The sequence below is a fragment of the Homo sapiens genome, chromosome 2 (assembly GCF_000001405.40).
Source record: "Homo sapiens chromosome 2, GRCh38.p14 Primary Assembly".
Classification (NCBI taxonomy): domain Eukaryota; kingdom Metazoa; phylum Chordata; class Mammalia; order Primates; family Hominidae; genus Homo; species Homo sapiens.
This window is the reverse complement of record NC_000002.12, coordinates 95,184,354-95,208,200: the sequence shown is the minus strand read 5'-3', so window position 1 is coordinate 95,208,200 and position 23,847 is coordinate 95,184,354. Positions and strand designations below refer to the sequence as shown.

At 46.0% G+C, this 23,847-nt stretch overlaps 1 protein-coding gene and 2 pseudogenes across 3 annotated transcripts in view, besides 3 other annotated features; 1 reads left to right on the top strand and 2 right to left on the bottom strand.

Moving 5' to 3' along the window:
- The window catches only part of ZNF892 (zinc finger protein 892), a 57,232-nt gene extending 55,386 nt beyond the window's left edge, over positions 1-1,846 (bottom strand). For 2 of the 3 annotated variants that reach the window (XR_007073288.1, NM_001395961.1), the window contains exon 1: positions 367-680. Coding sequence is in view for 1 of the 3 variants with exons in the window: in NM_001395961.1 (NP_001382890.1) it covers positions 367-385 (19 nt within the window). In the remaining 2 variants the exon portion in view is untranslated. Of the gene's footprint in view, positions 1-366; positions 681-805 lie in introns of those variants that run through there. The other variant, XM_047444126.1, reaches the window with a different exon arrangement.
- Positions 351-580: a silencer, noted in NCBI's record as "silent region_11741". NCBI's record gives its function as "represses an Ori minimal core promoter by ATAC-STARR-seq in GM12878 lymphoblastoid cells {active_cell/tissue: GM12878}" and the evidence as "EXISTENCE:reporter gene assay evidence [ECO:0000049][PMID:35858748]".
- Positions 621-870: an enhancer, noted in NCBI's record as "active region_16184". NCBI's record gives its function as "activates an Ori minimal core promoter by ATAC-STARR-seq in GM12878 lymphoblastoid cells {active_cell/tissue: GM12878}" and the evidence as "EXISTENCE:reporter gene assay evidence [ECO:0000049][PMID:35858748]".
- Positions 1,031-1,160: an enhancer, noted in NCBI's record as "active region_16183". NCBI's record gives its function as "activates an Ori minimal core promoter by ATAC-STARR-seq in GM12878 lymphoblastoid cells {active_cell/tissue: GM12878}" and the evidence as "EXISTENCE:reporter gene assay evidence [ECO:0000049][PMID:35858748]".
- Positions 10,817-11,706, top strand: SLC2AXP1 (solute carrier family 2 pseudogene 1; annotated as a pseudogene).
- Positions 15,530-17,567, bottom strand: LOC100287523 (zinc finger protein 2-like; annotated as a pseudogene).

Genomic DNA, 23,847 nt, shown 5'->3' with positions numbered 1-23,847 from the left:
AAAACAGGATTGTAAACAAATTCCGTGACTTCTCAAATCCCTGCTTTCCCTACCTTCCAAAAGGGTCGGATAGTTCCTTCCTACTGCCTTATGGGGCTCCTCTGAGATCAAAAAAGAAGTCATTATCAAAAGCCAAATTGTCAGATGTGTTGATATTTTCCCTTGAGCAAGGGAGGCATCCAGCGCCCTACAGACCAGGAGGGCAATGGAAGTGGCGGGCTATCCCTCAAAACCCCAAGTGAGACCGGCTAGTAGGAAGGGGCTCGTGACGCTACTCCTTCCTGAGCCTGCGCCAGCCAGAGGTAGCCTTTCTCCCTTTCTCCCTCTGCAGCGGGCACCAAGGCCGCATCACTCCCAAATCCTCACCTCTGCCCTCAGGTTCCATGGAGACTCCTTCCTCCGGCCCGCGCTGGAGGCAACCGCGACAGGGGAAGGAGCCGGAGGTCCGCCGCTCGGGTCCCCCAAGAGGCCGGGAACGCACGCGTGGGCAGCCTGGCGCCCCCACCCGGGGGTCCTCCCGCCACCCTCCTCCCGGACACTCAGATTAAAAGGGGATGCGTTCAGCCCTCCTCTACCCTGGGTTCGACCTCCAGCCACACACTGAGGAAGCCGAGCCCGACGACAAAGGCATCTAACAGCCGGCGGGGACGCCTAGCGCCGGCCAACCATGAGGCCGAACTACCACTCCCAGAATCCTCCGCGGGGCGCGGCTGACGGCCCTCACTCCCAACACCGCTTCCCAGAGGACCCTGCGGCCACCTGCTCCCGGGGCTGCGTTTCTTGCCGCGGCACGCTCCTGACCGACCTGGAGGAGCGCTGACCAGCTGGCTGAACCCTGCCAGCGACTCTGGAAGGGCCGCTCCTCCCTCGGTGCCGACTCTGGGCGGTGGCCGCGCCAAACCCCGCCCGGCGTGGGACTTTTCGCATCTCCGCTACTGTGAGGGCGGAAGGCGGCGCCCTTGACCTACGCAGGATCCTTCCCGGGCTGCGGTGCTCCATCGGAGGGGAGGCGCCCGGCGGTGTCCTCGCTGCTGCGCCTCCATGCATCGGCCCTTCGTGGCCAACACAGAGGTGATCTCAGTTTACTTTAACCAGGGATGTTTGTACCATATTGCACCTCGGAATAAAGAAAAATGGAATTTCAATCCCGAAATCACTTCAACCCCAAAAACGGCCACGTCTCCAAGAAGAACCAGTAAACTAGTCTTGCTGCCCCAAGGAGGCTGGAGCCTGGAGGTCTTGCTGAAATCCCTAACCTTGTTTTTACTCTAACTCGTTACTTTGAATTTTATCCTGCTTGTCTCTTTAATCACCTAGCCTTGCTTCTCATGTAAATAAGACTCTCTCTAGCTGGGAAAGCCGGACAAACTCCAGTTGACCCCTTAATTTACAAGACACTAAGGGCTCCTTACCCAACCCCCTTCCGCAAGGAGTTGACCTGTGTAAGCAGATCCTCAGCATTTCAAAGGAGCCCAATTAATTGATAAGGTATTAGCACCAACAATGTATGAAGTTCCCAGGATTTTTCTCAAAGAGAAAACATAAAGCCTTGAGTTCGTGTCCGGCATACCCCGTATATCTAATTATAATGAAAGATTTAAAGCCTTGCACCTGGTACCGTTGCTCTTCTTGTAACCGTTTGTCTTTTAAATTGTTTATCACTTTGTAACCATTTGTTTTTTGATTTTGGCATGTTTTTACTTCTGTAGAATTATTGCATTTGAGTTCCCCTCCCCTTCCTAAACCTAGATATAAAAGTTAATCAACTCCCTTCCTCGGGGCCGAAAGAATTTTGAGCTTTAGCCGTCTCTTTGGCCGCCGGCTTAATAAAGGACTCTTAATTCGTGTCAAAGTATGGCGTTTTTCTCCAACTCGCCTGGGTACAACATTGCAGACTCCCCAGGAGCTCTAGGGGTGGGCGGGTCTTCAGGCTAGTGCGTGTTTTCACTTACCTTCCCACAATAAAGTGTCAGGTTTCTGTCCAGTTCAGATTCCCAAGAGAAAATTTAATTAGCTATGTCCTTGTGGATACAAGCCACAATGTCCAATTGACCTTTCTCCAGCAGAATCTCCAATTTTTAGATAGGCTCAAGGCTTCCCAAGGCTTCTCATTATTCCTGCCCTTTGCCCTCCCCAGCACCCACAGCCCCTTGCTGACTGGAACGTAGGAAATCATCATGGGCTGTGTGAACTAGGTTAAGACCCTAGGGATGGTAAACCAACAAGATAGAAGGAACGGAGCCCCGGGTAATTTGTTGGAACAGAGCTTGGGCTTTAGCATGAGAGAGATGCAAACTTCTATTTTGTATAAGCCAGTATTATTTTGGGTTTCTTCTGCACAGATAACCACACTTAACCTCTAACTGGTCCGTAGATTGGCTGCATTTGGTCCAGGCAGCTAGGGCTGGTGGGGATAAAGGACTTGTGGTAGAGACACAACCCTGCCACCTCAAATGACAGCCAAAGGGAGTCTCCCCACTCTTCCTTCCGCAGGAGATATGGGATGGGCAGTTTCCTTCAGAAGATGCTTCATATGAAAGACACTACTCGCTGATGTTGCTACGGAAACCCCAGGGATAAGGTCTAGGCCCTGCAGCTTGCTGCACAAAAAAAGCCAATCACTGAGAGGAGTATTGCCAAGGAAGAAGGCTTTAATCAAATGCTACAACCAAGGAGATGGGAGACCAGCTGTAAATCCATCTCCCTGACCTACTAAAACCAGGGGTCTATATAGCAGGGAAGAAATGTAACTGTGTGGGGGAAAACAGGAACTAGGGAGGAATAAGGAAGCAATCATGATGAATGAGGGGTCTGGTGTATCCTTGTCTGGGTGCCATCATCTGGTGTTTCAGTTCTTTGATACTTGTTTTTTTTTTTTTCATCAAATGCTCCCTCAGAATCATCTTTTCATACTTTTTTGAGAGGCTTGAGGGTCTTTCCTGAGGAAGGAACTATGATAAAACAAGTATAAGCTTCAAGCTTTAAGACCAGAGAGTCTGCCGGGCGCGGTAGATCATGCCTATTATCATACCCAGCACTTTGGGAGGCCGAGGTGGGTGGATCACTTGAGGTCAGGAGTTTGAGACCAGCCTGGCCAACATGATGAAACCTCGTCTCTACTAAAAACAGAAAAATTAGCCGGGCGTGGTGGTGCACGCCTGTAATCCCAGCTACTCAGGAGGCTGAGACAGGAGAATCGCTTGAACCCATGAGGGGAGGTTGCAGTGAGCAGAGATCGTGCCAGTGCACTCCAACCTGGGCAACAGAGCAAGACTCTGTCTCAAAAAAAACAAAAAACAAACAACAACAACAAAAAAAAAAACCACCAAAGAGTCACTTTCTATGTTTATCCAAAATAAAGTCTATGGGACTATTGACTGGTTTCAACGTGTCTAGAGTACCCCTTTCTTCTTGTTGCTAACCATCCCCATCACAGATATCCCTTCTTTGTTACCATATCAATTGTCAGTCCTCATCTCACTTTATTAACAGCAGGTGATAACACTTGGCTACTCCCTGCTCCTGGAAATACTCCCTGGTTTTCTTCCTCCTTGACTGGTCACTCTTTCTCAATCTCATTAGGTATTTCCTCTTCTACTCACCTCTAAGCCAGTGTTTTCCAAACAACAGTCATGCATCACTTAACAACCAGGATACTCTCGGAGAAATGCATTCTTAGGTGATTTTGTTCTTGTGTGAACGTCATAGAATGTATTTATGAAAACCTAGACTGTACCACCTACTGCACACCCAGGCTATATGGTATAGCCTGTTGCTCCAAAGCTATAAACATGTACAGCAGGTTATGTGGTGAATACTGCAGGTCATTGTAACACAATGGTATTTGTGTATCTAAACATAATATAGAAAGGATAAAACAAAATATAAAAGATATGGTACCCCTGTATAGGGCACTTACCATGATTGGAGCTTTCAAGACTAGAAGTTACTCTGTTACCAAAACACTTTCATCTCCTAAGATAGCAATGCCTGCTTCCAGGATACCTCCCGAAGGATCTCTCTGAAGCTGTTTTACAGTTAACTTTTTTCTTGTAAGTCTAGGTCCTGCCACTCACAGCACAGGAAGCCGATGACTGAGACCATAATCTCACTGCACAGGAAGCCAATGACTGAGACGATTATTGGGTGCTGCAGCTGTGAAGATGGGAGATCAGTATCAAATCCATCTCCCCGACCCACTAAAGTGAGGAGTTTATATAGCAGGGAAGAAATGTAACAATGTGTGGGAAAATAGGAATTCAGGAGGGGTAGGTTAGCAATCATGATGCATGAGAGGCCTGGTGTCTCACTGTCTGGATGTGGTGATCTGGTGAGTTTCCGTTCTTTGATACTTTTTTATTTTATTTTATTTTTTTCAGAACGAAGTTTTACTCTTGTTGCCCAGGCTAGAGTGCAGTGGCGTGATCTTGGCTCACTGCAATCTCTGCCTCCCAGGTTCTAGCAATTCTCCTGCCTCAGCCTCCTGAGTAGCTGGGATTATAGGTGCCCGCCACCACACCCAGCTACTTTTTTGTATTTTTAGTAGAGACGGGGTTTCATCATGTTGGCCAGGCTGGTCTCAAACTCTTGACCTCAGGTGATCCACCCACCTCGGCCTCCCAAAGTGCAGGGATTACAGGCATGAGCCACCGTGCCCAGCCCGTTCTTTGATACTTTTGAGAGGCCTGGGGTTCTTTCCTGAGGAAGGAACTCAGATAAATTTAAGTTTCAAGCTTTAAGAGTAGAAAGGAAGGCTGGGCGTGGTGGCTCACGCCTGTAATCCCAGCACATTGGGAGGCTGAGGCGGGCGGATCACAAGGTCAGGAGATCAAGACCATCCTGGCCAACATGGTGAAACCCCGTCTCTACTAAAAAAAAAAAAAAAAATTAGTCGGGCGTGGTGAGGGGTGCCTGTAGTCCCAGCTACTCAGGAGGCTGAGGCAGGAGAATGGCATGAACCCGGGAGGCAGAGCTTGCAGTGAGCCGAGATCGCACCACTGCACTCCAGCCTGGGTGACAGAGCGAGACCGCATCTCAAAAAACAAAACAAAACAACAACAACAAAAGACTAGAAGGGACACATTCTATGTTTATCGAAAAAACTTGTCTGTGGGACTATTGGGTCGGTTTCAGCTCTGGGTGTGTCAGTGAACGGTGAGTGAATGTGAAGGCCTATGACATTACTATACACTACTATAGATTTTATAACTATTGCACACTTAGGCTACATTAAATTTATAAAAAGAATCGTCCTTCAACAAGTTACCTTTTCTGGCCAGGCGCGGTGGCGGGCAGACAACCTGTCAGGAGTTCATGACCAGCCTGGCCAACAGGGCGAAACCCCGTCTCTACTAAAAATACAAAAATTAGCCACGTGTGGTGGTGCTCACCTATAATCCCAGTTACTGGGGAGGCTGTGAACAGGAGAATCTCTTGAACCCAGGAGGTGGAGGTTGCAGTGAGCTGAGATCACGCCACTGCGCTCCAGCCTGAGCGATGGAGCAAGCCTCCGTCTGAAAAAAAAAAAAGAAGAAGAAAAGAAAACTAAGAACTAAGACACAAACACATTAGCCTAGGCCTATGCAAGGTCAGGGTCATCAATATCACTGTCTTCCATCTTCACATCTTGTCCCAGTGGAAGGTCTTCAAGGGCAATAACAGGCACGGAGCTGTCATCTTCTAGGATAGCAATGCCTGCTTCCGTGATACCTCCCAAAGGACCTCTCTGAGGCTGTTTTACAGTTAACTTTTTTTCTTAGAAGTAGGAGTATACTGAGTATACTCTAAAATAACGATAAAAGGTATAGTATCGTAGGTACATAAACCAGTAACATAGTCGTTTATTATCATTAGCAAGTATTACATACTGTACATAATTGTATTGCTGTACTTCTATACAACTGACAGCGCAGTAGGCCTGTTTACACCAGCATCGCCACAAGCACGAGTAACGTATTGCCCTAATGGCTACAACATTACTAGGCAATAGGAATTTTTCAGCTTTATTGTAATTGTTTGGAACCACCATCACATATGTGGTCGGCCATTGACTGAAATGCTATTTTGTGGCACACAATTATATGGTAATCAGAATCATCTGAAAGTCTTGTTAAAATGCAGTGCTGAACTCCACCCCCATTCGGGTGGTCCGAGGTGATTCTGAGAATTTGTGTTTCCACCAACTTCCCAGAAGATGCCAAAGCTGCTCATCTAAGAATCAACCAAATGTTGAAATGCCCCAGAGCTCAGGCCTTGGGCCTCTCTTCTTCTGTCAACACTAGGATAGCAGTGCCTACTCTTAGATGATCTTGTTCCACCCACATGCTCTAAATACCACCCAAATGTGGTCAGCTCCCAATTTATATCTCCAGCCTGGGCTTTTCCCCTGACCTTGAGCTGTCTTCTCCACCTCTTGACTTGATGTTTCATAAACATCTTTAACGTAGCATATTCGAAAGTGAACTCTGCTGTTCCCCCTCCTCCACTGCCAAATCTCTTCCCCCTGCAGTTTCCCCACCTCAGTAAATGGCAACCTGATCCTTTGGTTGCTCAGTTCAGATACCTTGGAGTCATCATTTTCTTTATCTCATGCCACATATCCAGTTGCTTTGGCTCTACTCTCTTTTTTTTTTTTTTTTTTTTTGAGACGGAGTCTCGCTCTGTTGCTCAGGCAGGAGTGCAATGGTGCGATCTCGGCTCACTGCAACCTCTGCCTCCTGGGTTTAAGAGATTCTCCTGCCTCAAGCCTTCCAAGTAGCTGGCACTACAGGCGCATACCACCACGCGTGGCTAATTTTTTGTATTTTTAGTAGAGACGGGGTTTCATCACGCTAGCCAGGATGGTCTTGATCTCCCGACCTCCTGATCCACCTGTCTCGGCCTCCCAAAGTGCTGAGATTATAAGCGTGAGCCACCGTGCCTGACCAGCTCTACTCTCAAAATACATGCAGAATCTAATGACATTTCACCACCACCACCATGACCACCACCACCCCCCTGGTTCAAATCATCATCTTTTGCGTGGATCACTGCAAATGCCTGCTAACTAGTCCCACCCCTTCTACTCTTGTCCTGCACATTCTATTCTCAACACAGTGGCTCCCTCATCTCAGAATAAAAGCCAAAAGTCTTTACGATGGCCCACAGCCCCTTCATAACCTGCACCACCCACCTCCACTAGCTCTCTGATCTCTTCTACGACTTGCCCCTTGCTTGCTTTGTTGCAGCCACGCTGACCTTCTTGTCCTTCTTCAGTCAGGTGAAGCTTCCACTCTGGAGCCCTCTGCCTCTTCCTCAGCCTGCATAATCCTTCCCCCACATGGCCACCAGGCTTGTTCTTTCACCAGCGCCAAGCCTCTGTTCACCGTCTCTGTGAAGCCTTTTTGTCCTTCATTACTTTATTTCTTTTCCATAGCAGCTATCTCTTTCTAATATTATAATTATTAATTTTATTTCTTTAGTGTCCCCCACTGTGCATGCACCAGGGATCAGGCTCCATGGGGAAGGAATATCCCCAGAGTATTTACTGGTACTTACATGATCAGTAACTGAAGGAGAGTATACTCTTCTCTGTATGATGCAGAGAAGGTAAAAGTACCTGAAGCTAATATGGTTCTCATTGCTTTTCTTGGCTTTAATTTGTGTGCTTCTGGAAAATTCAGACTTTCTTCACACACGGACACAGGCACTACTTTAGAATAATGTGGCCTTGAACAGCAGTGGCACCTCTCTCCCACTGCAGCACATAAATTGGTGTCACACAGCAGTAGGGTGGAATTGGAACACCTTGTAATAAAAACCCATGAGTCCTCATTGTCTCTTACAGGTAGATTAACCCTGAGTTCTTCAAAACTTATGAGAACATCTATTTCCTTCTAATAGGTCTGACATCCTGTCAGGAAAGCATCCTTGCCTTTCTTAAGCAGCAGTAGTGCCATAAAAGGCCATTTACTTTGATGTGAAAGCTGATGTTAAGAGAAATGAATATGGAATCTGTTCATCATCATGGAAGAGGGCAAAGCCAAAAATGTGAAGGAAGGATTTGGGTGGCAAACAGGTGAAGATTTGGGGTACATGAGATTCAACATAACAGAGAGAGGTGCCAAAGGCCTCAGATAGTGTGAGAGGCAGGCAGACCTGAGGCAGGAAGTCAGGCTTGGAGTGAAGCAGCAGAGGGAGTTCATTGGGCATGTGTCTTGTGCCTCATCACATCCCTTAGCCCTCTGCACAGACCCTCGGCCATTTGCTCCACCTCAGCTGCCAGGGCCTGTGAACCCACTCAGCTCTTCCATTTGCACCACCTGCAGCTGGACGGTTACCTACCTGGGAGTGCCAGGCTCTCCTCCTGCCAGCCGAAGGCCAAAGAGCTGCACACTCAGGTTTCGGACCCCTCACACCACTTCCAGCCTTATTGAAGGGCTATACAGTGGGTTGTGGGGGCTGGCTTCCCTAGGAGTGGCTGGGTGATGCCATCTGAAGGGCGGGGGCATCTGAGAGATGGAGGAAGCTGATCAGATTAATTCCTTTGGCTTCCCTTTACCCATTATTGCTTCGAGGCATGGTTGCTCCACGTACACTGGAATGTGGACTTCTTACAGAGCCAAGCAGATGCACATGCTGAATAATCTCTCCTTCCCAGCTGGTGAAGTAGAAGTCGACAGGCAAACGGATCGTCTTGCATTTCTTCCCATCCTTTCCTATTTCACTTCCTTTTCCTCACTCATGTTGCCCTAGGTTTGCACCTCATAAAGCACCAGCTCTTAATCCTTGCCTCAAGCTCTATTTCCTAGGGAATTTGGGCTAAGACTGGGAGCATGGCTGCCTATGACCCCTGGTCCCTCTAATGGCAGCATTTTTGAAAGGGACAACTGTGGGCGAGGAGCGATGATTCATGGTGGAGCAGGAGCAGTGGCTAGGATCAAGTGATGAAGGCAGAGGCACAGGCCTGGATCGAGGAAGGAGGAACCTGGAGACAAGCCCCTGGGGGAGAATGACAGAGGGGCTCTGATCCTAGCACCAGGAACTTCAAGGAAGCAAATCCCTTACTGTCTTAGAGTTGCTCAAGGAGCCTTAGTGTCGTGGCCAGATCCTTAAAGAACTCTAGTATAGCAGGAATTTACTTGTGAAATTTCTGACCATCTCTGACTGATGAAGTTGCGCTGATGGTAGAGGAGCTGTTGCAAACAGCAGTCCAGGAAAGAGCCACAGAATGAGGCCAAGACAGCTGCTGACATCACAAGCAATAACCAGATGGACTTCTGGGACCTGATAAATGTTGATCTGGCATTTTATCTGGTATTTGAAAGGAGCAACCATGACGACTGAAGAATGCAAAGGTATCTGGGACATGGAGGTCTATCTGGGCAGTTTCTGTCAAGCCAAGTGATACAGTGGTCCACATCCGCTTTGCCCAGACACAGGACATTCAGGGTTGGTTTTAGCTTGTCTTTGGTTTGCTGATATCTGCTTGGCTTGTTCCCCAACAATAGCTAAAGGAGTATTATGGATTCTTTGAAACTCATAAAGTCATAATGAATAGAGGAGATCTTATTTCCATCCATGCTTCCATCAGATAGACTTACTGATATGCCTTTTCAAGGAAGTTACAGAAAACTCCCATTTCCTAGCAGGGTAGCTGTTGGGGGTTATTAGGAAAGAAATAGCAGGAATGGCCACACATGTTGTGAGGAAAGCAAGTAGACCTTTAGATGAGAAGCACCTTCCAGCCTATATCATGTCATTCTCTTGCACCAAGAGGATGCTTGGGATGTCCCTTTCACCACCTCCAAACAACAAAATGAGATAAGTAGTAGACCTGGAAGTTCATCAGGCATCTCCACAGCCAGGTGTAATAATAGTCAAGAACTCCATATTGAAGTGACTCTTGGCAACCAGTTAGCCAACTGTGAATAGTGTGGTTGTATATTTTGTTTATAATTCATTCTGTGTGTACTTTGAAAAGACAGTTTTATATGGATGAATGGATATATTTTTAGTAAGAGTGGCAGAGAAGTTGGCCTGAAGAGAACCAGCCAAAGGATGTTTGAAAGATGCTGGGATTGAACTATCAGATACTTATGAGGGATTTGCAAAGAATGATGCTGGGCTATGGGGACAGGGAAGGTCCACACCTCCTCTGTGACTATTATTCTGCCCTTATGAGCTACAATCCTGGAGGTGTCAGTGCTCTGGAGCTGACCGTAAAGCTTCTGAGGTCAGGCCAGCCGCACAGTGAGGTACAGCTCACCTCCCTTCTGGTCCCAACATGAGGATGGAAGAGTTAGCTCTTTTTCTGTGGATTCTATGTATTGTTTTGGAAAGTTTAACAGGAACTTTCTTTGGCTGTAAGTACAATGGTTAATTACATCAGGTTTTATTCTCTCACATTCAAGTCCAGAAGTAGGCAGTCCAGGGCTGATATGAAGCCTCCGTAAGATTATCGGGGAATCAGGCATCTTCTGTTTTTCTCCTCTGCCATCCTTAAGGCATGGCTTATGTCCTCAAAGTCACAAGGTGGCTGTTGGGGTTCCAGCCATTAAATCCACATTCCAGGTAGAAAGAAGGAAAAGGCAAGGCCAAAAGGGAGTGTCCTAGTTGTCACTCTTTTAAGTACCCTTCCAGAAGTCCTATCCAAAAAATTTGAATTTTATCAGCATAGCATTCACCTGATATTTGATATATCAATATTTCATTGGCCTGATTAGCTATATCTAGCTGCAAAAGAAGCCAAGAAATATAGTTGGGTGCTCTGCTGCTCAGAATAGAACCAGAGTTCCTATCATTAAGGAGGTGAAGAATGACTTCTGGCTAGACAACGAACAGCTTCTGCCGCAGTAAGCATTACTCAATGCTCATTGTCAACACTTTAGCTCTTGCAAGTTACTTTATCATGAGCATCTATAAAGTGGCTCGAAACACTGAACCTCTGATCTTAGAGTAGATGGTCTTTTGCATCTTCTGCAGACTCTGCACAGGTTTTGTACACAAGTGTGATGGAGAAGAATCCACATCTTTATATGGCACCTCTGGCATGTTCAACAGTCTGGGTACCACACCAGGGGCCAGATAGTTGATCATTATGAGGACTGATTTTTTTGAGGCCTCTGCTACTGGGGTTCACCATCACTCCATTTATCCTGCCTGAAGTTCCACATTCCTGCCCATTTACAGGATGAAAGAAGGGAGGGCCATGCTAATTCTCTATCCTTCATCCACAGGAGTGCCAATATGGGATAAGAAATTAAAATAATTAAGCTTTTTAATGCCTGGATAGCAAGAGCCTATCCTCCTCCTCATCCTGGTGCTGACGCTCTCTCAGCTGCTGTCTGAAATTACTGCTTTACTACTAAGCAGGAATTCTTAAAGCCATAGATGTGAGGAAGCTGATCTAAGTCTCTATTGTGTAGGTGTGGACAGGACAGTCTGTGTTTTGGCTTCATGGGTACTGATGTTGAGGGCAAGAAGGAGGACACCATGTCTCATAGGCCTGGCCTTCAGTCACATCCTCATGTCTGCTGCTTTGGTACTGAGGGATGACCATTTGTGGACGAGCAGTGTCTGGAGTTAACTTTGGCTTTGTGGTATTCTTTGAGATTAGACACAGCCCCATTTCCTGTAGCCATTTTCACAGTGGCTAACCTCTTCAGCCTGGGACCCCACCCAGCTGCCACGGCTGCGCCTGGATGCTGCAAAGGACTCCGAACTTTTTGGGATGAACATGTTTCCCTTCCACAGCTACAAGTGAGTATATGATGAGAAAGGGAAAGGCCCGGCACGGTGGCTCATGCCTATAATCCCAGCACTTTGGGAGGACAAGGCAGGTGGATCATGAGGTCAAGAGATCGAGACCATGCTGGCCAACATGGTGAAACCCCGCCTCTACTAATATTAGCTGGATGTGGTGGCACACGCCTGTAGTCCCAGCTACTCAGGAGGCCGAGGCAGGAGAATCGCTTGAACCCGGGAGGTGGAGGTTGCGATGAGCTGAGATCGTGCCATTGCACTCCAGCCTGGGTGACAGAGCAAGACTCCATCTCAAGAAAAAAAAAAAGAGAGAAAGGGAAGGGGCTATATCCAGGGTGCTGTGGAATGGCAGAGCCAGACTAAGGAAGCTTGGTTATCAATAAAATTAAACAAAGATGAAACAACTACCACCACTGTAGAAACAAGGATAGTTGGGTGATGGGTTTGTCTTCCAGAATCCAGAGGTCAGGTCTGGGGCCAGAAGACCACAAGTAAAGGGAAACACAGGCTCCTGAGCCGAGTGAAGAACAGTAGCACATAACCAGAATCAGAGCTCCAGGAAGAGACAAGAGGAGCGGATGAAGAGCTCACAGCACAGCTGTAGTGAAGGCATTGGCAGCCATAAGCACATAGAAGCTTGATGTTTCTTATCTTTTTTTTTTATTATTTTTTTTTGAGACGGAGTCTTGCTCTGTCGCCCAGGTTGGAGTGCAGTGGCGCGATCTCGGCTCACTGCAAGCTCCACCTCCTGGGTTCACACCATTCTCCTGCCTCAGCCTCCTGAGTAGCTGGGACTACAGGCACCCGCCACCACACCCGGCTAATTTTTTGTATTTTTAGTAGAGACGGGGTTTCACCGTGTTAGCCAGGATGGTCTCAATCTCCTGACCTCATGATCCGCCCGCCTCGGCCTCCCAAAGTGCTGGGATTACAGGCGAGAGCCACCACGCCCGGCCGATGTTTCTTATCTTTTTTAAAAAACAATTTATTTTTGGCGAGGCATGGTGGCTCACGCCTGTAATCCCAGCACTTTGGGAGGCCAAGGCGGGTGGATTGCCTGAGGTCAGGAATTCAAGACCAGCCTGACCAATGTGGTGAAACCCCATCTCTACTAAAAAAATACAAAAATTAACCGGTCGTGGTGGCGGGCACCTGTAATCCCAGCTACTCGGGAGACTGAGACAGGAGAATCACTTGGACCCGGGAGGCGGAGGTTGCAGTGAGCTGAGATTGCGCCATTGCACTCCAGCCTGGGTGACAGAGTGAGACTCCATCTCAAAAAAAAATTATTTTTAATTGTCGTGGATACATAGTAGGTGTGTATAGAGTACATAAGATGCTTTGATATGGCATTGCAATGTGTAACAATTGCATCATGGAAAATGAGGTACCTGTCCCCTCAAGCATTTATCCTTTGTGTCACAAACTATCTAGTTATACTATTTTAGTTATTTTAAAATCTACAGTTAAATTATTATTGACTACAGCCACCCTGTTGTGCCTGGCTAATTTTTTTTTTATTTTTTAGTTTTTTTTATTTTTAGTAGAGACAGGGTTTCACCATGTTAGCCAGGATGGTCTTGATCTCCTGACCTCGTGATCCGCCCGCCTCAGCCTCCCAAAGTGCTGGGATTACAGGCGTGAGCCACTGCGCCTGGCCCATTCATTTATTTTTTTCTACCCATTAACCATCCCCACTTCCCTCCCACCCCCCACTACTCTTCCCAGCCTTTGGTAACCATCCTTCTACTCTCTATGTCCATGAGTCCAATTGTTTTTTAGATCCCACAAATAAGTGAGAGCAGGTGATGTTTGTCTTTCTGTGCCTGACTTATTTCACTTAGCATAATAACCTCCAGTTCTATCCATGTTGTTGCAAATGACAGGATCTCATTCTTTTTTATGGCTGAATACTACTCCATTGTGTATAAGTACCACATTTTCTTTGATGTTTATTTTCTTACTAAAGTTTCTAGTTGTATAAGTGCATTTGATTTTTGGCTCAAGTTCTCAGGTATTCATTCGTTTAGAAAATGCATGATGAGGCCGGGCACGGTGGTTCACGCCTATAATCCCAGCACTTTGGGAGGCTGAGGCGGGTGGATCATGAGGTCAGGAGTTTGAGACCAGCCTGGCCAATATGGTGAAACCTCATCTCTAGTAAAAACACAAAAGTTAACCAGGCGTGATGGTGGGCGCCTGTAGTCCCAGCTACTCAGGAGGCTGAGACAGGGAGAATCTCTTGAACCCAGGAGGGGGAGGTTGCAGTGAGTTGAGATCGCGCCACTGCACTCCAGCCTGGGCGACAGAGCAAGACTCCAACTCAAAAAAAAAAAAAAAGAAAGAAAGAAAGAAAATACGTGATGAGTGCCAGGCCCCACACTGGGAACACAGCAATGCACAGATATGAAGGAGTTCTTGCTCTCCTGCAGCATTCAGCCTTGCGATAAATAAATACATAATATGTCTGTTCCCTATCTTAGGGTCTCCTTCAAACACCTGCAAAGCATATTGATTGGAGAGCTTCTGACCAATTTGGGGATCCTCCAGGCATCATCTCAAATTTGAGATATCCCAATGAAGTGTATGGGATGGTTAATTGAGACTATTTATTAAGACTGTGGTACCAAATGGAGGCATAAGGATAAGCAGTTGTGTAGGGACCAGCCCCACAGGGTCGGTGGGTCTCTCCCTGTGTGCTGCGACGAGAGAGTGTAGAAATAAAGACACAAGACAAAGAGATAAGAGAAAAGGCAGCTGGGCCCGGGGGACCACTACCACCAATGCGCGGAGACCGGTAGTGGCCCCGAATGTCGGGCTGCGCTGTTATTTATTGGATACAAGGCAGAAGGGGCAGGGTAAAGAATGTGAGTCACCTCCAATGATAGGTAAGGTCACGTGGGTCACGTGTCCACTGGATAGGGGGCCCTTCCCTGCCTGGCAGCCGAGGCAGACAGGGAGAGGAGACAAAGAGAAAGACAGCTTACACCATTATTTCTGCATATCAGGGACTATTAGTATTTTCACTAATTGACTACTGCTATCTGGAAGGCAGAGCCAGGTGTACAGGATGGAACATGAAGGTGGACTAGGAGCGTGACCACTGAAGCACAGCATCACAGGGAGACGGTTAGGCCTCTGGATAACTGCGGGCGAGACTGACTGATGTCAGGCCCTCCACAAGAGGTGGAGGAGCAGAGTCTTCTCTAAACTCCCCCAGGGAAAGGGAGACGCCCCCCCCCCCCCCACCTTTCCCGGTCTGCTAAGTAGCGGGTGTTGTTTCTTGACACCTTTTGCTACTGCTGGACCATGATCCGCTTGGTGACGGGCGTCTTCCCAGACGCTGGCGTCACCGCTAGACTAAGGAGCCCTCTGGTGGCCCTGTCCGGGCATAACAGAAGGCTCGCACTCTCGTCTTCTGGTCACTTCTCACTATGTCCCCTCAGCTCCTATCTCTGTATGGCCTGGTTTTTCCTAGGCTATGATTATTGAGTGAGGATTATCATAATATTGGAATAAAAAGTAATTGCTACCAACTAATGATTAATGATACTCATATATAATCATATCTAAGATCTATATCTGGTATAACAATTCTTGTTTTATATTTTATTATACTGGAACAGCTCGTGTCTTCTGTCTCTTGCCTCGGTGCCTGGGTGGCTTGCCACCCACACAGTTGATAGAAGGTGCTCAAACATAAATCGTCATTACCTTGAACAAAAACATGCTAAGTCTCTCTGGGGACTGCTTGTCTGGCTGAAGCACCTCCATGGTACCCCGAAGCCTGTTTGGCATAAACATCACTGATGTTGGATGATAGAGGACTTGCGACTGAGAACTTTCCCACACATGCTGCACTCGTGGAGCTTCTCTCCAGGGTGCACTCTCTGATGGTGAATGAGCCATCTTTTCTGGAGGAAGGATTTCCTACATTCAATGCATTCATAGGGCTTGTCTCCACTATGAATTTTCTGTTGCTGATTAAGGGACGAGCCATAAAGAAAACCTTCCCACCCTCATTATCTTCGGGATGCATCTCTACAGTGTGCACTGTCCTGTGTCGAATGAGGGATGAATGGTCCAACATGAAGGGGTGGCCTGCCCCTCCACACCTGTGGGTATTTCTAGTCGGGTGGGACAAGAGACTGAGAAAAGAAATAAGACACAGAGACAAAGTATAGAGAAACAATAGTGGGCCCAGGGGACCGGCACTCAGTACACCAAGGACCTGCACCGGCACCGGCCTCTGAGTTCCCTTAGTTTTTACTGATTATTATTTTCATTATTTCAGCAAAAAGGAATGTAGTAGGAGAGCAGGGTGATAATAAGGAGAAGGTCAACAGAAAACATGTGAGCAAAAGTATCTATATCATAATTAAGTTCAAGGGAAATTACTATGCCTGGACGTGCACGTAGGCCAGATTTATGTTTCTCTCCACCCAAACATCTCAGTGGAGTAAAGAATAACAAGGCAGTATTACTGTAAACATGTCTTGCCTCCCGTCACAGGGCAGCTTTTCTCCTATCTCAGAGTTGAACAAATGTACAATCGGGTTTTACACCGAGACATTCAGTTCCCAGGGGCAGGCAGGAGACAGTGGCCTTCCTCCATCTCACCTGCAAGAGGCTTTCCTCTTTTACTAATTCACCTCAGCACAGACCCTTTACGGGTGTCAGGCTGGGGGACAGTCAGGTCTTTCTCATCCCACGAGGCCATATTTCAGACTATCACATGGGGAGAAACCTTGGACAATACCCCGCTTTCAAGGGCAGAGGTCCCTGCGGCTTTCCACAGTGCATTGTGCCCCTGGTTTATTGAGACTAGAGAATGGCGATGACCTTTACCAAGTATACTGCTTGTAAACATTTTGTTAACAAGGCACGTCCTGCACAGCCCTAGGTCCCTTACACCTTGATTTTATACAACACATGTTTTTGTGAGCTCCAAGTTGGGTCAAAGTTGCTGGGTCAAAGTGGCTGGGGCAAAGCTACAAATTAACAACATCTCAGCAAAGCAACTGTTTAAAGTACAGGTCTTTTTCAAAATGGAGTCTCTTATGTCTTTCCTTTCTACGTAGACACAGTGACAGTCTGATCTCTCTTTCTTTTCCCTACACAACAGAGCTCTACCCTACCCCTGCATTCCTAGGGCCACTCTCCAGGGCGGGTTTGCTGTGGCCAGTCAGAATAACTTTCCCACTGAAGGATTCCCCACACTCTGTGCATTCATAAGGACTTTCTCCAGTATGAGTTCACTGATGCCCAGTAAGGGTTAATCAGTTGTAGAAAGTTTTCATTGCATTCAAAGGGGCTCTTCCCAGTGTGTGACATCAGGTGTTTCTTTTTTCGATTTTAACTAATGTTATAGAGACAAGGTCTCACTATGTTGCTCAAGCTGGTCTCAAACTCGTAGGCGCAAGTGATCCTCCCAAATTCTGGGATTACAGGCATGAACCACTGGCTGACATCAGGTTTTTCTTAAGACTCCTACAGCTAAAGGCTTTTCTGCATTCCTGACAGTCATGGGGCTTTCCTCCACTGTGAGTCCTCTGATGGTGGGTGACGACTACGTGGTTATATGGGGTCTTCCCATACATGCTGCATTCAAAGTTCCTCCCCTTACTGTTAGTTTTCTTGGCAAGAGTAGATCTTTGCCTCAGTCCTTCTCCTTGGGCGCAGATTTCTTCAGCGTTTCCCTGAATGGTTTTTCTTCTTTCTGCGCTCAGGCTTTTCAGGGATAAGTGCAGGACCCAGTGGAAAATCTTTTCAGAGTTTTTCATTAATGTATTTAGTGATTTTATTTTTTTAGAAACATCCTGCCTTTGAGTGGAGTCCTGGCTCTTAGATCTAGTCTTCTGGTCTAAAATAAATAGCAAATAGAGATCAAAGCTTTGAGTGCTAGTTAAGAAGAAAGTATTGTATGTGTTAAGAACAAATACAAAATACTGGCTGATTGATTGGTAGCTCCTTAAAAGAAAAACAACAGGGACAGAGTGAAAAATAGCAAAGGAAAAGAGAAATAGAGATTAGAAGTGGAAAGTGGGCATTTAGCCCACTAAACACGTTTCAGTTATTCATGCATTAGCTATTTATCATTTAGTGTGCCTGTTAAGTGCTGGGCACAGTAAGTCACTGAAACACGAATGCCTAAGACAGCCAGAGTCCCTGCCCTCATGATGCTTATATTCTACTACACAGATGGCAAAGAAACAAACAAACTATAACAGATGGTGATGAGTGTAGTGAAGGAAATAATGAGTAGGAGTTGGAGTAGGGGCTTCAGAGAGATCCTTAAGAGTGGTCATCTAGAATTGATGTTTAAACTAAGATCTGAAAGAAAGAAGTTAATCATGTGAACAGCCAAAAGAAGTTAATCATGTGAACAGCCATTTCGAAAAGAGGTATATGAAGAAAAATAGGAGATATGCACAGAACTATAGAAGAGGGAATGACCAGGGCAGCTTGCTACAGGTAGAGGAGTGTAAACTCAGGGAATAAGCAGGGAGACAGGATAGCTCCTAGGAAAGTAGCTGCCTGTGACTACTGAGTGGATCTAAAAGGAAAAGGAAGGTCATATGGTAAAAGACAAGCAGGAGAAGCCAGGCATGGTGGCTGACACCTGTAATCCCAGCACTTTGGGAGGCTGAGGCTGGCGGATCACCTGAGGTCAGGAGTTCAAGACCAGCCTGGTCAACACAGTGAAACCCTGTCTACTAAAAATACAAAAATTAGCCGAGCGTGGTGGCAGGTGCCTGTAATCCCAGTTACTTGGGAGGCTGAGGCAGGAGAATCGCTTGAACCCAAGAGGTGGAGGTTGCAGTGAGCCAAGATCATGCCACTGCACTCCAGCCTGGGTGACAGAGTGAGACTTCATCTCAAAATAAATAAATAAATAAATAAATAAATAAATAAATAAATAAGCAGGAAAGATGAGAAAGTGTTATCAGAGTTGAAATAAAGGTGTGTCTCAACCCTCTCCTCTCCCACCCTCACCCCTCACCACTACCACCCCCAAGAAAAATAAACAGGAAGGGCCTTGCTGTAGACAGCTCCACTTTCTCACTCATCTGACAGTATCTGTGTGTGTGCTGTGTACCAGGTAGTGTTTTGAGACAGTAGGCGAGAACATAAAACAAAACATCTCTGGTGGTGTTGACATTTTAATTAGGGGTAGGTATGTACAGACAGTAAACAAAATTAAAAAGCAAAAATGTCAGGAAGACAGAGCTGGGAAGACAGCTGGGAGTGCAGGGGCTGGGAGTTGTGGAAGGGATGGCGAGAGTTATGTTTTATTTTATTTTATTTTTTAATTTTTGAGATGGAGTCTCACTCTGTCGCCCAGGCTAGAGTGCAATGGCATGATCTCAGCTCCCAGCTTCAAGTGATTCTCCTGCTTCAGCCTCCCAAGTAGCTGGGATTACAGGCATGAGCCACTATGCCCAGCCAATTTTGTATTTTTTTAGTAGAGACAGAGTTTCACCATGTTGGCCAGGCTGGTCTTGAACTCCTGATCTCAAGTGATCCACCTGCCTCGGCCTCCCAAAGTGCTGGGATTACAGGTGTGAGCCACCGTGCCTGGCTGAGAGTTCTGTTTTTAGACAGGATGGCCAGCGAAAGCCTGGCTGAGAAAGGGGCACATCTGAGCAAAGACTTGGAAAAGGTGACAAGAGAGCCACGTGGCTATCTGGAGCACAAGTTTTTGCAGCAAAGGCCCAGTATGGCCATGACCATCTCCATAGGCCTATGAGACCCCAAGGAGGGGTCTCTATGTGAACCTTCCACTAAATCCCATCTGCCCATCCACACATGCCTACAGAAGTACTTCCTGCACCCTCTCTCACTTCACCTTCCTGTATATCAAGTTTCCATGGCTCTCCACCTCCATTCAACTGGAAAATCACATCAGGTTTAGGAAATAAAAGTCCTGTTCACAAAGAACAGAATGAGAAATGGCTGTTTAGGATAGAAACCCATGGCCACCTCAGGGTCTAGTAGCAGTGCCTTACTTTCTAGGGGGGAACATGAAACTGTCCAGAAAGCATATGCTACTTTCCAGAATCACATACACAGCTCTCTAAAGGGAAGTCAGGGCAACTTTCTAGAAAATCTGAGTTAGGTCTCTTTGAAGTGGTTCACGTGTTCTTTCCCTGATGAATATCTGGGAATGTCCCCCATGTGGACCTGGTGTTCTTGTGGGTTGAGGGAAAGTTCTTGGCTTAGAGCAGTGGAATATGGAGAAGGTTCCACACCTCAGGAACAACCCCATGAAGCCATTTTCTTTTATAGCTTTAAAAATAATGAATTTGTATCCGTTAATTATATTTCTGTGCAATTTTGTTGATTTTGATGAAAATACAAATTCAACTGGAAGAGTTTTAGATAATATAAAACACAACTATAAACATCAATGAACAGTTTTTTAGAAATCCTTAAAAAGATAAATTATGATGGCTTTGGCTTTTAAAAATGTAAAATAGGCTGGGCGCAGTGGCTCACACTTGTAATCCCAGCACTTTGGGAGGCTGAGGTGGGCAGATCATCTGAGGTCAGGAGTTCAAGACCAGCCTGGCCAACATGGTGAAAACCTGTCTCTATTAAAAATACAAAAATTAGCTGGGCGTGGTGGCGGGCGCCTGTAATCCCAGCTATCCCAGAGGTTGAGACAAGAAAATCGCTTGAATCCAGGAGGCAGAGGTTGCAGTGAGCCGAGATTGCACCACTGCACTCCAGCCTGGGGGACAAGAGCGAGACTTTGTCTCAAAAAAAAAAAAAAAAAAGAAAAGTAACAGTGAAATTTATAAAGTCTTCATTTTCTGTATTTAGTTTCTAAATGCATTATGAAATGCATAAGACATACAAGAAGCATAAAGACAAGCAAACACCTATGGACCCACCACCTAATTTAAGAAATAAACATTAACACTAAGATTGAAGCCCCTCCCTCATCTCCTCTCTTCCCCTCCATGAGGTAACCACTGTACTAAATTTGGTGTTCATTACTCCATATATTTTAAAATGTGCTTCCTCATTTTATTTGCAGTTTTAAAAATATTTTAAAACATTCCATGTTCACTGGAGACAACTAGGAAGTATAAAAAGGAGATAGGCCGTGCACGGTGGCTCACACTGTAATCCCAGCACTTTGGGAGGCCGAGGCGGGCGGATCATGAGGTCAAGACATTGAGACTATCCTGGCCAACATGGTGAAGCCCTGCCTCTACTAAAAACACAAAAAATTAGCTGGGCGTGGTGGCACACATCTGTAGTCCCAGCTACTTGGGAGGCTGAGGCAGGAGAATCACTTGAACCTGGGAGGTGGAGGTTGCATTGAGCTGAGATTGCACCACTGCACTCCAGCCTGGTGACAGAGTGCGACTATGTCTCAAAAAAAAAAAAAAAAAAAAAGAGATGGAATACTATGAAGCCATAAAAAATGATGAGTTCATGTCCTTTGTAGGGACATGGATGAAGCTGGAAACCATCATTCTCAGCAAACTATCGCAAGGACAAAAAACCAAACCAAACACCGCATGTTCTCACTCATAGGTGGGAATTGAACAATGAGAACACATGGACACAGGAAGGGGAACATCACATACCGGGGCCTGCTGTGGGGCAGGGGGAGGCGGAAGGGGTAGCATTAGGAGATATACCTCATGCTAAATGACGAGTTAATGGGTGCAGCACACCAACATGGCACGTATACATATGTAACAAACCTGCACGTTGTGCACATGTACCCTAAAACTTAAAGTATAATAATAATAAAATTTTTAAAAAAGAGAGATAAAGAAAAGTTATAAACTGGCCTGGCATGGTGCTTCATGCCTATAATCCCAGCATTTAGGGAGGCTAAGGCGGGTGGATCACCTGAGGTCAGGAGTTCATGACCATCCTGGTCAACATGGTGAAACCCCGTCTCTACGAAAAACAATACCAAAAATTAGCTGAGTGTAGTGGCACATGCCTGTAATCCCAGCTACTGGGAAGGCTGAGACAGGAGAATTGCTTGAACCTGAGTGGCGAAGGTTGCAGTGAGCCAAGATCGTGCCACTGCACTCCAGTCTGGGCGACAGAGCAAGACTCCATCTCAAAAAACAAAAAAAGGAAAAAGAAAAAAAGAAAAAGAAAAAGTATATAAGCTTTCTAGTCAAAGATAATTAGGGGTAATATCTTGGTGTTGGTCCTTCTTTTTCCATGCATATATATGGAACTATATTGTAAATGTATTCAAGTTCCAAACATTTTGTAACCTGCTTTTATCATTTCGCAATATATCATCATCTTTCTAACTCTGTAAATATCACTGCTAAATGTCACTGATAAACTCCAGTGGAGCTTTCTCAGGCTTTGTCTTCCTTGATTACTTGGCAACTTTGAGTGCTTTTTGACCATTCCCTCTTTCTTGAAAATCTTTTGACTTCTGTGACACGGCTGTCCCCTGGCATTTCTCTGACCTCTCTATCTCCATCTACTCCTTCTCCTTTGAAGTCTCGTCCTGTCTTCACGCCCGTTAAATCTTGATCTTCCTGTGACCCATCACATGAGATCAGATGTGGAATTTTCCACTTGTGACTTTAGCTCAGCACTCAAAAACTTCACATTTTGGAGCATTTCGGATTTCAAATTATAATGGTCACTCTGTTTATACATTTCCCAATCCACTCAAACCCTCGTAAAAGCATTTCAGAGAAGCCCCCTCACTAGGATCCCCATCACCCAACTCAACATACCTACTTTAACTTTCTTTTTACCACAGGAGTCTTGCCTCAATAACATAGACCACTTAGGAACTTGACATCCACTGCAGTCAATCTCTTAGACTTCCTGAGGAATCGGTTATAGCTGGTTATTGAAAATGAACATATTTATCTTGTCTAATGGCTGGCACCTGGTATCTTTGCTTCCTTCTTCAGCTCTGTGTGATTTATTATGTAAGACTTGCAGAGGGGGTTATTCTTAGAAATGCAGGCCTGAGGAGGAGGGGGTGGGTGTGCCTGAGCCCAGAAGCTGGCCAACCCTCCCACTGGCCCCCTGGCATCATGACACCCCAGATGCATTTCTGGGATTGGTGGGCCTGCCAACTGTCTGTGCCAGGCTGCGGTGCCCAGCTTTCTGCCATCTGCCATATTCTTTCCATCGCAAGATTCTCTATCATTGCCAACCTTTCTTTTGATTCATGGAATGCTTCTGTGCCTTTGTGTGGCAAGCACTCAATTCTCTCTTAAAACTTAGAGTTTGGCTGGGCGCAGTGGCTCACACCTGTAACCCCAGCACTTTGGGAGGTGGTGGCGGGTGGATCATGAGGTCAGGCGTTCAAAACCAACCTGACCAACATAGTGAAACCCCGTCTCTACTAAAAATACAAAAAATTAGCCGGGCATGGTGGCGGGCACCTGTATTCCCAGCTACTTGGGAGGCTGAGGTGGGAGAATTGCTTGAACCTGGGAGGCGGAGGTTGCAGTAGCCGAGATCACTCCACTGCACTCCAGCCTGGGCGACAGTGCGAGACTCTGTCTCAAATGAAACAAACAAAAAACAAAAACTTGTCATCAGTAATATTATTTCTTTGAAACTCCTTTTAAAGCTTGACATCAGTGATATTACTTCATTTCTTTGAGGCTCAAACCCCTGCAAACACTATCCAGTCATTTTTGCTTTATACCTTAAGAATGCTGATATTCTTCCAATTTGATCAATTTCTAATTCCAAGGTTTCATCCTACTAATGGCCATTAGGTGAAGCCAATACCTCAAAATTTAAGGTCTCCACTACTACATGCCATATTGGGAGATATTAATTAAAAGGTAAAATGGCCATTTCCTGTTTTTAGAAGGAAGTGGAACAGTATCCACATTAAAAAAAAAAAGCTCTGATAACCAAATTTAAATGGGAAACAAAGAGAAAACTATCAAATCCATATCCCCACTCTGTCTCCATTACTACTGTGCTCAAAAGTCCATTGGTATCTTTTCTAAGGATAATAGAGTAAAAAAGATGTCCATTGGAATCCTAAATTTGTTCCAATCTCATCTTGCTGAAAATGGTAGAATGTATTAGAGAAATACCTGACCCTCAATTTACTTTTAACAAGGCAGTAAA